A 13,435-nucleotide genomic window follows, 5' to 3' on the forward strand; every position below is an offset into this window, starting at 1 on the left:
ATGGCCTTAGTACATTTTTGCTAACAGATGTGAGCAACAAAAACCAATTCTTTCTTTGAAAGCATTAAATGCAGCAAGATGCAGGTCAGAGCATACCTCCACTTGTGTGCTCTTACGGATAAAATTCAAAGGGCAAATAAGATTTTGCATTTATTGAAGTTTTTCTTTACATTGCTATAAGTACAAACACCCATTTATCCTTTGACCTCTTATACCTTTATTCTGTATGCATATGGAAAAAGTGATAGTTAGATCTGTATGTAGATATACATGGGTAGACAGATAAACACACACATATAGAATTATATGAGTTTGCCTATGTAGATATTTACGTATACAAAACATATTAATCAATGAACATTTTAAATTCCCCAGCCTACACTGAGGAGGCAGATATAAACTTACTCTCAACTATATGGATCCATAGCGTCTCAGACTGGAACACAGCCATACAATGTTATGTTTAAACATCAATAAAGCTTCACGTTTAGGTGCATGGCCTGGGAAGTAAGTTTTTGGTAAAGCCATTTAAGACTTTAGTTCCAGCTTAGCATTTTCAGGGCCCTGCTTCCTTTCTCACTGTATGCTCATGTGATACATTTGCCATTTGGGTCCTGCCTGGATGTCTTCACTTTCCCAAGTTAGTTAATTGACTTATATTCATCTAAGCGGCTCATTAAACTCATCTGGGCTGCAGAAGTTGGGAAGAAAAACGACCTCTGACCTACTTATTCTGTGGCTTCTCTACAGGACATAAGCAATAATAGAAATTACATTGGTATACCTATGTTACCCATTTTCCATGTATATGTTTATCTAGCTGCCTATCTTATATATATATCTATATGTATAAAAAAGACTGCCAAAGAAGAGTAGGTTAGAGGTGATTTTTACTTTATTGTCCATTCAGGCCGGGTAAATCCAATCAGCCATTAGCTCAGTGAAGTTTTATCAAATCCAATCCACCACCAAATCACGTTGTGCTAAATGTGAAAATGTCCTCATTACTGGGCACCAAAGTGTTTTAAATTCAGAGTCTAATCAAAATAGCCCATGTGGTTCTGTCCATCCAGCTAGGAATCTTCAGACATGCCAGTAGGCCTAATTTTTTTTCACAAGCTCTGGCCTGACCAATAAGAACAACCTTTGGTGCTTCAGTGCAGTGTCATTATCAAATGCAGCCAGGTAACATGTACCATTATATTTGCTTTCAGTATCATAATCTTCTAATAAGAAACCTAGGCTTTCCATTATGATAAAGACCCTACTTTAGCCATAAAGACAAAAGGGCAAGAGTGTACTTTCACATTGCACACTCGTGGAAATAAATGAGAACCCCTGTCTTGATGAAAGTCTTAATGAGAAGAAATAAACATTCTCAAATTTTGGTGAGAAACTTTGGACTGAGTCTAGTTCAACTTTGGCCCCATGTGTAACAGAAACAGAAGGATCAACATTGACATGGCAATGAACGACTTCCATTGCCTTAGTGCAATTTTTTTTTTTTTTTTGAGATGGAGTTTCCCTCGTTTGGCCCAGGCTGGAGTGTAATCGCATGATCTTGGCTCACCACAACCTCCGCCTCCCGGGTTCAAGCGATTCTCCTGTCTCAGCCTCCTGAGTAGCTGGGATTACAGGCATGCACCACCATGCCTGGCTAATTTTCTATTTTTAACAGAGATGGGGTTTCGCCATGGTGATCAGGCTGGTCTCTAACTCTTGATTTCAGGTGATCCACCCGCCTTAGCTTCCCAAAGTGCTGGGATTACAGACGCAAGCCATCGCACCTGGCCCCTTAGTGCATTATCTCCCAGAAGCAAGAAACAACAAAAAATGCTTTTTTCATATATGTTAAATGTGGCAGGATGTATGTTAGAACATATTTTTATTTGTGTAATATTTGTGATATTGTTTATAGGGCAGATAAACTTATACATGTATGGAAGTTACTTTTTTTCGTTTTGTTTTTGTTTTTGTTTCTTGAGATGGAGTTGCACTGTGTCACCCAGGCTGGAGTGCAGTGGCGCAATCTCAGCTCACTGCAACCTCTGCCTCCCGGGTACAAGCGATTCTCTCACCTCAGCCCTCCAAGTAACTGGGGTTCCTTCACCCACCACCCTGCCTGGCTAATTTTTGTATTTTTAGTAGAGACGAGGTTTCACCATGTTGGCCAGGCTGGTCTCGAACTCCTGACCGCAGGTGATCTGCCCTCCTCCACCTCCCAAAATGCTGGGATTATAGGCGTGAACCACCGCGCCTGGGGGGAAGTTACTTTTTATCTTACTATATTCATAGTAATGCATATCAATACAAAGATTGATACATCTAGATATAAATATACATAAGAAGACAAACACATAGAGAATTCTATAAATATTTCTATCTAAATATTTATGTATACAAAACACGTTCCCCAAAAGACATTTTTAATCTTCTAACATGCACTAAAGATGCTGATGTAGAATCATTTTTTTTCTCTTGCTAAATAATGTAAATAACATGCTAAATAGAACATAACCATACAATGTTGTTTATGTAAATATCAACAAAGCTTTATCTTCAAGGGCAAAGCCGCAGAAATAAACTGAGAATAAAGCCATGTAACTCATCTGTCCAGGTTAGTATTCCAGCACCCTGCATGTCTCCTCAGAGTGTGTGTGTTCTGTTCACATCCACCATTTGGGGCCTGCCTTAATAAAGCCACAATCACTATTCAAATATTTGTATGATTGGTTTGCCCTGGGCTGAGCTACTTGGCTGGTTGGAATCACCTGGGCTATGCAAATTGGCTGATTGGAATCACCCAGGCTCTGCTAATTTGCTTATTTAAGTTACCTCAGCTTCAGGGGTAGAATGTGGAGATGTCATCTGACCTACTTTATTTCTGAGGCTTTTTTTTGAGGGACCTATGCACAAATTAACATTACGTAGACATACCCATGTGACTCAATTTGTGTGTATATGTTTATCTAGCCACGTATTTTATATCTCTATGTACAGAAAGAAGCCTATAAAATAAACTTGTTCAGAGGTGATTTCCATTTTCTTTTCCTACAGGTTAGGTAAATCCAATCAGCTACTTAGCTCAGTGAAGATTTATTCAAACCAAGCCACATGCCACATCACATTTTTTTCCATAAGGGTAAAAATGTTTTTAATAACCTGGCACCTGGGTGTTTTTAATTCTGGTCTCATTAAACAAGCGCAGTGAGTTTTTTCCATGTATCTAGGAACTGCCAGAAATGCTTGACACAAGTGGGCTGAGCCTTCCTCACAAAGATTTGATCTGGAATATAAGAGCCACCTGTGACACTTCAGTGAATGTTCACTATCACCCATTTGAAATGTAGCCAAGTACCATGTACCATTATATTTGCTTCCATCATCACCATCTGTCTACTAAAAAGATCTAGACTTCTTTTTTATTACCATAAATACCTGACTCCTGCCACAAAGACAAAAAGATAAGACTGTGATTTTACATCACACACTCTTGGAAAAAAATAGAGTTCTTGTCTTGATAGAAGTTCTAAAGAGCGGGTGAGAGATTAAATGACTACCAGGAGCTAGATAATTGCTGTTTTACTAACAAATGTTCATTTTCATTTCTATATTATCTCATTATGTTAATAATGAAGTAATAACGTTTATCCAGGGAATTTCAAAAAAACTTATTTTTTCATCAGCCATAATAGTAATCAAAGACAGAGAAATGGAGGTGTTTAACTTTCATAATTTATATTTTAAAATTAAAATGCTTCTAGAAATAAAAAAGGAAAGGAAGAAAGAAATATACAAACAAATGAAAGACAGCCTGGTCAACATGGTGAAAGCCTGCCTCTACTAAAAATACAAAAATTAGTCAAGTGTGGTGGTGCACACCTGTAATCTCAGCTACTTGGGAGGCTGAGGCACTAGAATCACTTGAACCCAGGAGGTGGATGTTGCAGTGCGCCAAGATTGCTGCACTGCACTCCAGCTTGAGTGACAGAATGAGACTCCTTCTCAAACAAAACAAAAAAATAAACAAAAGGGAAGGAAGTGGATTACTCACAATAGCTAAGGTATGGAATCAACCTAAATGTGCATCAGCAGGTAAATGGAGAAAGAAAGTGTGGTATATGTACACAATGCAATTTTATTCAGCCCTTAAAAATAAGGAAGTCTTGTTATTTGCAACAACATTCATGAACCTGAATGATATGCTAAGTAAAATAAGCCAGCACAGAAAAGAGATGGAGTTTCCCTCTTGTTGCCCAGGCAGGCAGTGGTGCAGAGGCACCATCTTGGCTCACTGCAACCTCCGTCTCCTGGGTTCAAGCGATTTTCCTGCCTCAGCCTCCCCAGTACCTGCGATTACAGGTGCCCACCACCATGTCTGGTTAATTTTTATATTTTTAGTAGAGACAGGGTTTTGCCATATTGGCCAGGCTGGTCTCAAACTCCTGACCTCAAGTGGTCCACCCACCTCGGCCCCCCAAAGTGGTGGGATTACAGGCATGAGCCACTGTGCCCAGCCCACATAATCCAACATCTATGTAAAGTGTGAAAAAAATTTAAACTCGCCAGGCACAGTGGCTCACGCATGTAATTTCAGCACTTTGGGAGGCCAAAGTGGGCAAATCACAAGGTCAGGCATTTGAGACCAGCCTGACCAACATGGTGAAACCCTGTCTCTACTAAAAATACAAAAATTAGCCAGGTGTGGTGGTATGCACCTGTAATCCCAGCTACTCAGGAGGCTGAGGCAAGAGAATTGCTTGAATCTGGGAGGTGGAGGTAGCAGTAAGCCGAGATCAGGCCACTGCACTCCAGCCTGGTCAACAGAGTGAGACTCCATCTCAAAAAAAAAAAAAAAAAAAAAATTTAACTCATAGAAGCAGAGAATACAATAATGAGAAAAAAAAAAAATCCCCCTACTGGGTTTTGGTCTGGTTAAGAGAGCTTCTTCATGATCTTTCAGGGATTATATATGCTTTCATTTTCTGCATCCCTCTGTTCTCCAGTCAAAGGGTGAAAAAAGATACAGAGAAGACAATTTGCTTTTTACCCACTTCATTTCCACTCACTATTAGTCAATGTGGGTATAGCTGAGAATAGCAGTTTTCTGGCAGGACAGCCACTTCTAAGCAATAAACAACACACTGAAAATAAAGTATAAATCTTTCATAAAAAGCTAATGAATTTTAAGAAAAACAAGCATATGCATCAGTAATTCTTGGGGTAAAATAAAGATTCATTTTGTTAATTTCTATTGAGTTCCCAAAATATTTGATCAAAAGCTAGCAAATATACAAGAGAAATGGAATATTATTCTAAATAAGAATATTGTGAATGGTTATTTTGTCAATACAAGTAAAAATATGATCTCGCACTAACAGTCTCACTTAGAGTTGTACAACATCAAATGCTGTTTTTCATTTAAAATTGTATTTCATATAGGTATTCAATTTATATCACCCTCCTTTGCTATTTCAATCCCTTCTCCACTTTATATCAGTGGAAAACAGGCCAGCAGGTCCCAGGAAAGCACATGTTGCTATTGCTGCTTTAACAATGATCATGAAGAGCACTTGTTTGGGTGCGACTCACGTGTCAAACACTGTTATTTGGCTTAAAGTGAGGCAGAAGTTTAAAAATAATAGGTACTGCATTTGTTCACCCCAAGAAAAGTAAAAGCTAAGGCCCACAATGTGGTAAGGCAAGAGTTAAAAAGAAAAGAACAAGTTTGCCTCTGCCTAGCAGCTCACTTCAAGGACAGTTAGAAGATAATACTGTCTGAATAGCCAAGGCCAAAGGAATGGGCTCCAGACATCCACCTCCCTTTCAGAGCAAGGTTGAAGGAAAAAACAAAGAGAAAGATAGGTTCTTTTACTATTACTCTTTTCCCAGGCTTCTTAAGCATGATTATGTTTTACAAATGTCTGTATTTAGCCAGTTCTTGTTTTTCTTCTAATGCAGCTACAAGGCCACCGGCTAGGTCACAAGTTATATTACGCTATAGATTACGTGACCTGTCACTGTATGATTAACTGCTATTCTTTTGCTTCTGGAATGCTGCTTCTAAAAACCCCACTCTGTCTTTGTTCAATGCTCAGCTTTTGGATGTGAATCCTCTGAGCCGGTGCATAACTAAAATAAACAAGCCCTTCGGTACTCCGTATTGGTTTCTTCATTCCTCAATTTACCACAACATTTTTGGTGACCACGAAGGGACCAGAGAGGGCAGGCTTACTGTCTCCTTTGCCTCTGGGGACTGGAGCGTGAGCCTCGGGAAACCTGTGGCCCCAGGTGCCACTGGGAGAACTTCAGCCCGGAGGGGAGATCAGCTGTCTTTTCACCCAGTGCCCCCTACCCAGCAGTGCAATAGAACCTAAAGAGGAGCTACAGGACAATTTCAGAAACAGCGTGCTTCAGGAAGCACGGTAAGGTTTTGGGGGCCCAAGGCAGGACCTGTCCCTTGGACAGAAGGGGAGCCTGATCACCTCCTGGGGTATGCCAAATAATCGGACCCAGAGGGGCTCAGGGCAATGGGAGTGGCTCATCGATTCGGATGAAACTCACAACCTGCTGACACAGGACATGAAAGTGGTTCACTAAGTTGCCTAGGAAACTGGAGGTGGTGACAGAGGCTCACCACCCCAACTGGGAACTAGAGGGGGCAAGAGTGGCTCGCCACACCAACTGTGAAACTAGAGGGGGCGGGAGTGGCTCACCACCCCAGTTATGAACATGGGAACTGAAAATGTGTGAAAGTATGTGAATGGAGGGGACTAATTAGGCTCATCAGCTGGGAAGTGGGGAGTCACAGATCTCTCAGCGTGGACTGTGTGCTCCAAGAAAGTGTGGGGTCGACTAAGACTAGTGGCAATCTACATACAGCTAATAGAAACTGCCCTACAGCTCAGAGTTGTAGCGGGAATAAGGACTTCTCCAAAGCCAAGCAGCATCTGAAAACTCCTGTAGTAAGAGACAGTGTAGTCGGCTAAAATGAGAGGAAGAGTGAGTGTGCAAGAGTGAATGTGCTGCGTCGTAAAGGGAGGAGTGCGAGGAAAGTCATCAAAACATCAAAACTTGGCGTGCATGTTACAGAACCTTAAGAAAGGTTTTGCAGGGGTTATAGAGTTAAGATTAAGATTATAGAGTTAAGATTATAGATTATAGAGTTAAGTTAACCCCCTCAGAGGTTGAGAACTTTCTGTGAATTAGAATGGCCCTCTTTTGGTGTTGGATGGCGGAGCAAACGAACTATAGACGGAAAAATTGGCCATGTATTTAGGGTGGTGACAGGGGGTGGAGGACTGCCAGTGTACCCAGATGAAATTCCTTTATATTGACTCGTGGTTAAATATAATATAGACAAAACCAGCATAGATCCAGCCCTGTTTAATGGCTTATTGCAAAAAAAGCCAAAAGTGAAAGTAAGAGCAGCTTCACTGGCAGATACAGAGTTAAACGGGGAGTCCCAGAGAAAGCAAGAGAAGCCAGTTTTGCAGGAGCTGCCAGAGGAAACAGAAGTTCTTCCTCCATATGTCCCAGCCTACCCCCCTTTACCGAGGCCAACAGCCCCCCCAGGAACAAGATTCAGGAGCTAACACGCCCCAGGTCTTTCCTCGAAGGGGAGGATCAGGCCCTTGAGAGGCTAGGGAAGGAAGTCAAGACAGTCAAGTGGGCCATTTCAGATCTGGCCATGCTCAAGCTGTGCAAATGCCTCTCAGGGAGAAGATAGGACCTATCTATTATGATGACCAGGGCCACATCCAGAGGGGGGCAATGGACTTATATCTATCAGCCCTTTTCAATTACTGATCTACTAAACTGAAAACACCATACACTGTCCAACATGGAGAAGCCTCAAGTTCTTATAGATCTGATGCAATTCCTCTTTCTGACACACAATACGACCTGGCCAGATTGCAGGCAGCTTTTCCTAATGTTGTTTAACATTAAAGAGTGCCAGAGGATGACACAGGTGGCTCTCCGCTGGCTAGAAGCCCATGCACCAACAGACATAGTGAATGCTCAGGCATACGCTCAGGGTCAGTTCCCAGACCAAGACCCCAACTGGGACCCGGAGGATGCAACTCAGCTTCAGCGTTTGCAGAGGCACCGAGAGGCACTTCTGCAGGGCCTAAGAGCTGGTGGAAGGAAAGCAATTAATATAAGGAAGATTTCAGAAATGCTTCAGGGAGCTGACAAGAGCCCAAGTTAGTTTTATAAGAGACTCTGTGAAGTATTCTGCCTTTATACCTCATTTAACACTGAGGTTGCTGAAAATCAGCCTGTGGTGAATACAGCATTTGTAAGCCAAGCCCAGGGTGACATCAAGGGGAAGCTGCAGGCATGAATACCACCCAGTCTATAAAAGTGGCCAAGGTGTATGTTAACTGTGACCAGGGAACAATATGCAAAAGCAACAAGTGTGGCAGCTAGGCATTCCAAGGGTTAACTCCCTCTCCCCAGCCCGGCTCTATTTGGAACGAGACGAGGGTGGAGACTGGCACTGGGAGAAGAGCGAAGGAGAAGGTAAGGAGAAAGAGTGTGAGAAGGGAAAGAAGAAAGTAAAACGGAAATCAGAAAGAAACAGGAGAGACAGACAGCAAGCGTGTCAGTAGGGTCCGTACTCTTGCCCAGACCCACCGCTGGCTGCAGAAGCAGGAGAACTCAGGAAGGAAAAAGGAAAGTAAATTGAAAGTTTAAGAAAAAGGCCAGTCTGTTGGCAACAGCTCTTATGGAAAGAGAGATTAGCAATGTGAGAGGACTTGGACGTGGACGCAGACATGGAAGAAGTCAAGTTAGGCAGAAATTCAAGAGCCGGACAAGGCTGGAAAGAGATTAATGTATGAGAAGCAAAAAGAAAGGACCCTGGAAAGATGAATGTTCAGAAGGCAATGACGGAAATGGCTAAGGCAGCGAGACAAAGAGGCCATCGGTCAAGGGCTGCCGCACCTTTGAGGAACCAAATACTGATCTGATTGGGCTGCCAGGAGCTGAAGGATGTAAAGACTAAGACAGATCGGGCACCTTCTCACTAGGCTTCCAGGAGCCCATGGTCACATTAGAAGTTAAAGGCATTATCCTCAGGTTTGGACTGTCTCTAACTTTAAAGTCAGACAATGGACTGGCATTTCTAGCTGAAATAGTGCAAGATTTAACAAGACTGTTAAAAATAAAATGGAAGTTACATACAGCCTATTAGCTGCAAATTTCAGGAAAAGGTGGAATGCATGAACCAGACACTCAAATAGCTACTGAAGAAATATTGCCAGGAAATTCATTTGAGATAGAATCAGGTGTTTGCATATGATCCTCCTCCAAGTCAGGTGCACCCCCACCAAACAAATTGGGTATTTGCCCAGTAAGATTTTGTTCAGTCAGGCACCCCCAAATCAAAAGTCAAATTAAAGGTGCCCTCCAGTAAGTAGGGGAATTAACCTTAAGAAAGAGATGCAGGCTTTAGGAATAGCCATACAAAGTGTTTAGAATTAGGTACATGAAAATGCCTATAAGCCTGACACCCCTTTAAATCTGGTGACTGTTTAGGTTAAAAAGTAGAATCTAATTTCTCTAGGACTCAAATAGGATGAGCCCTCTACTGTAATCTTGTCCACTCCCACTGCTGTTAAAGTTTCAGGTGCTGTGTCTTGGATCCACCACAGTCGGCTAAAACCGGCAGCTCAGGACAAGTGAACCAGCCAGCAGGACCCAGATCATCCAACCTGGCTGATCCTGAGGCGAGACCAAGCTGCTGCTGAGGACAACAGCCCTGCTCTGGTCACTCCAGAGGCTGACCAGTCTATGCATGGCTGAAGCTTGAGGAAACAACAAGCCCTGCTCTAGTCACACACCAGAAGCTGACTAGTCTATGCACGGCCAAAGCTTGAGGACTCATCAAGCAAGTAAATGCAGTTAGAAATCTTAGGACTAGTAGTTTTACTGTATACTAACTGTTTGACTGTTGTTCTGTCCCTGTGCTCAACCTTTTTCCCAGGTGAGGACCTCTTTTGCCCTTGCTGGATATGAATATGCTGTACATTGTTTTGTTGTTGTTACTCCTCTTAACCATTCTAGAATAAACACCTATAGAAGGGTGTCTCCACTGTACACATACTACTTGATTAGGGAACAGTATAACTAGAACCCTATTGTACTATACTTATGAGTGTACAGGGACTCGATTAGGAACTTGTACTTATAATCAGACCACCTATTCAATTTGTGACCCAAGAAATGGTCAGCCTTATATATGCTGTGACCCTGAGTCTTTACCTGGGACTCGGTTGGAGATTCATACTGAGTCAAAGGAAAGAAGTTTTATAGGTCAAACCCAAGCCTCTCTTCCTGGAGCTATATGCATATACTTTGATATTTGTCAGTTAACATCTATGAACCCAAACTATCTCACAATCTCTGGTCCTACAGAGTACTATACAAACTGCCAGTACAAAATTGTGTGTGCACCCTCTGTTTGTCCTTCCAAGGCCCTAGCAATAGCTTGCTGGAACTGTACAATGCAGTTCACTGACTGATCATCACCGAGGTCAAAGCCAATCTTGCTCATCAAAGTACCAGCAAAACTGGATTGTAAGACAAGCACTTGCAATCCTGTAAGTCTTACTATCTTAAAGCCAGATCTACCTATATGGACTACAGGTTACTCCATTGCATTACAAAGCTATGGTCAAAAAACTAAAATAACTTTGTATATTCTAAAGAGGACTCAAACCAAGCAGTCAGCCCAGCAGCAATTCTGAGTCTTTAAGTCATTCTTTGAGCATATAAACCAGAAGTTACCAGAGCCTCCTCCTTTAGGCAAAAACCTATTTGCTCAGCTGGCTGAAAACACTGCCAGCAGCCTAGGCGTTTCCTCATGTTATGTTTGTGAAGGGACTAACATGGGAGACCAATGGCCTTGGGAAGTAAAAGAGTTAATGCCTCAAGATAACTTTACTCTGACTGACTCTTTTCCCAAACAGATGCCCACAGGTTCAAGCGTCTGGCTCTTAAAAACTTCTATTATTGGGAGATACTGTGTTGCTTGCTGGGGAAAGGATTTTACAGACCCAGTAGAAGAACAAACCTGCTTAGGACAGCAATATTATAATGAACCATTAAGGAAAACTTTGTGGTGGGACAGAGATGACTACAAAGCACATCATCCAAATTCGTTCTCCCATTTCTCTTCTCTAAATTACACTTGGTATCAACTTGCAGCTCCAAATACTTGGCAAGCACCCCCGGTCTTTACTGGATCTGTGGGCCTCAAGCATATTGACAGTTGCCAGCTAAATGGACAGGGGGCTGTGTGCTTGGAACAATTAGACCATCTTTCTTCCTGCTCCCACTGCAACAGGGGAAAACTTTAGGGTATCCTGTCTATGATGAAGTTAGAAGAAGAAACAAAAGAGATGCAGCCATAAAAAATATATAAAAAATAGGAGATTGGGAAGACATAGGGAAGTCCCCTGAAAGAATAATTCAACACTATGGGCCAGCTACCTGGGCACAAGATGGGTCACGGGGATACTGCACTCCTATTTACATGCTTAACCACATCATAAGGTTGCAGGCAGTACTTGAAATCATCATGAATGAAAGAGCAAATGCATTAGATTTACTGGCCCAGCAAACCACAAAAATGAGAAATGCTAACTATCAGAACAGATTAGCTTTAGATTACCTCCTAGCCCAGGAAGGAGGAGTATGAGGAAAGTTCAATCTAACTAATTGTTGCCTGGAAATTGATGACAATGGAAAAGCAATTATGGAAATAACTGCAAGAATGAGAAAATTAGCCCATATTCCAGTTCAAACTTGGAAAGGGTGGTCCCCAGATTCTCTCTTTGGAGGCTGGTTTTCATTTTTCACAGGGTTCAAGATTTTAATAAGGGTGGTTCTGGCCATACTAGGAACTGCCTAATACTCCCTTGTGTCTTACATCTGCTTGTTAGAAGCATTCAATCAACTATAGAGGAAATAGTAGCTAGGCAAACTACCACACAGCTCATGACTCTGTGTAAATATCAAGCTTTGTCTAAAGAAGAAAACTTGTCTCTTCAGGCAGAACTAAGTAATAGTGATGACTTCTATTAAACTTCTTTCATAAAAGGCATCAGAAAGGGGAAACTGAGGCAAGCATTTAAAAATAATAAGTATTACAATTATTCACTCCAAGAAAAGTAAAAGCTAAGGCCCAGAATGTGGCAAGACAAGGATTAAAAAGAAAAGAACACGTTTTCCTCTGCCTAGCAGCTCACTTCAAGAACAGTTAGAAGATAACGCTGTCTGTACAGCCAAGGCCAAAGGAATGGACTCCAGGCACCCCCCTCCCTTCCAGAGCAAGGTTGAAGGAAGGAAAAAAAAAAAAAGAGAAAGACAAGTTATTTTACTGTTACTCTTTTCCCAGGCTTCTTAAGCAGGATTATGTTTTACAAATGTCTGTATTTCGCCAGTTCTTGTTTTCCTTCTAATGCAGCTACAAGGCCACTGGCTAGGTCACAAGTAATGTTATACTATAGATTACATGACCTGTCATTGTATGATTAACTGCTTTTGTTTTGCTTCTGAAAGGCCGCTTATAAAAACCCCACTCTGTGTTCAATGCTCAGCTTTTGGATGTGAATCCTCTGAGCCGGTGCACAACTAAAATAAAAAATCCTCCTGTACTCCGTATTGGTCTCTTAATTCCTCAGTTTACTGCAATAAAAGTACTGTTTTTCTACTTTTTTCTAAATTTACCTGTAATATAAAATTGTTAGCCAAGAAGACTTTATCTTATTCAAATATGTTTTATGGGATTTCATTAAGTGTCTGAATTATCTGGAGTACTTACATTTTCCATTAAGCTAAATTGAGTACTACAGATAATCTTTAACTAAAAGCTTTTCTGAGGCAGAATAAGATTTGTAACATTTTATTATCATATGAAAGAAGTGTATTAACCATGTTTTCAGTAATCACTCTGAACACAGCATTCTCAGTTCCCAGTATGCACCCTGAGTCACTCAGGGGAAACTGGTTTCTCTGTAAAGAGGCAGAAGAAAATGCTGAGTGGAGGCACCACACTGCACAGCAATGCTTTCCACATGCACCTATTAGGGTCTTCATTTAATTGGGCTGATATTTGCATAGCTACTTACTGAATTTAGTCATACTATTTTTGAGCAGCTAATGGTGTCTGTTACCTATTAATTTTATACATTTGCTTTTTTTGAAAAACAAATCTTTTGTTAATTTACTCTAAGTTGAGACTACATTTAAAATGTTCAATTTTTCAGCGTTAAAGCAAATCAGAGAAGAGCAATGTGTATATAGTGTGCATTTTCCTATCAAAATTCTTTATTGCATTGGAAACCCCAGGAAGCCAACTATAAAATACTCCCTTTGAATACTTTAGCCAGGATTTTAGACTTCAAAAGGTCAAAAACAATGAGCA

At 41.3% G+C, this 13,435-nt stretch overlaps 1 long non-coding RNA gene across 1 annotated transcript, besides 1 other annotated feature; it reads left to right on the top strand.

Annotated features, from left to right (window-relative positions):
- Positions 1-5,825: 5,825 nt before the first annotated feature.
- On the top strand, positions 5,826-12,665 carry LOC105372318 (uncharacterized). Its single transcript, XR_936412.4, has 2 exons — positions 5,826-6,425; positions 9,629-12,665. It is a non-coding gene; the product is annotated as an uncharacterized LOC105372318 (long non-coding RNA).
- Positions 8,413-8,671: a silencer, noted in NCBI's record as "fragment chr19:20796649-20796907 (GRCh37/hg19 assembly coordinates)". NCBI's record gives its function as "represses an EF-1alpha promoter that drives an FKBP-Casp9 reporter gene in an ReSE screen in HepG2 liver carcinoma cells {active_cell/tissue: HepG2}" and the evidence as "EXISTENCE:reporter gene assay evidence [ECO:0000049][PMID:32094911]".
- Positions 12,666-13,435: the final 770 nt, after the last annotated feature.

This window comes from Homo sapiens, chromosome 19 (assembly GCF_000001405.40).
Source record: "Homo sapiens chromosome 19, GRCh38.p14 Primary Assembly".
Lineage (NCBI taxonomy): Eukaryota > Metazoa > Chordata > Mammalia > Primates > Hominidae > Homo > Homo sapiens.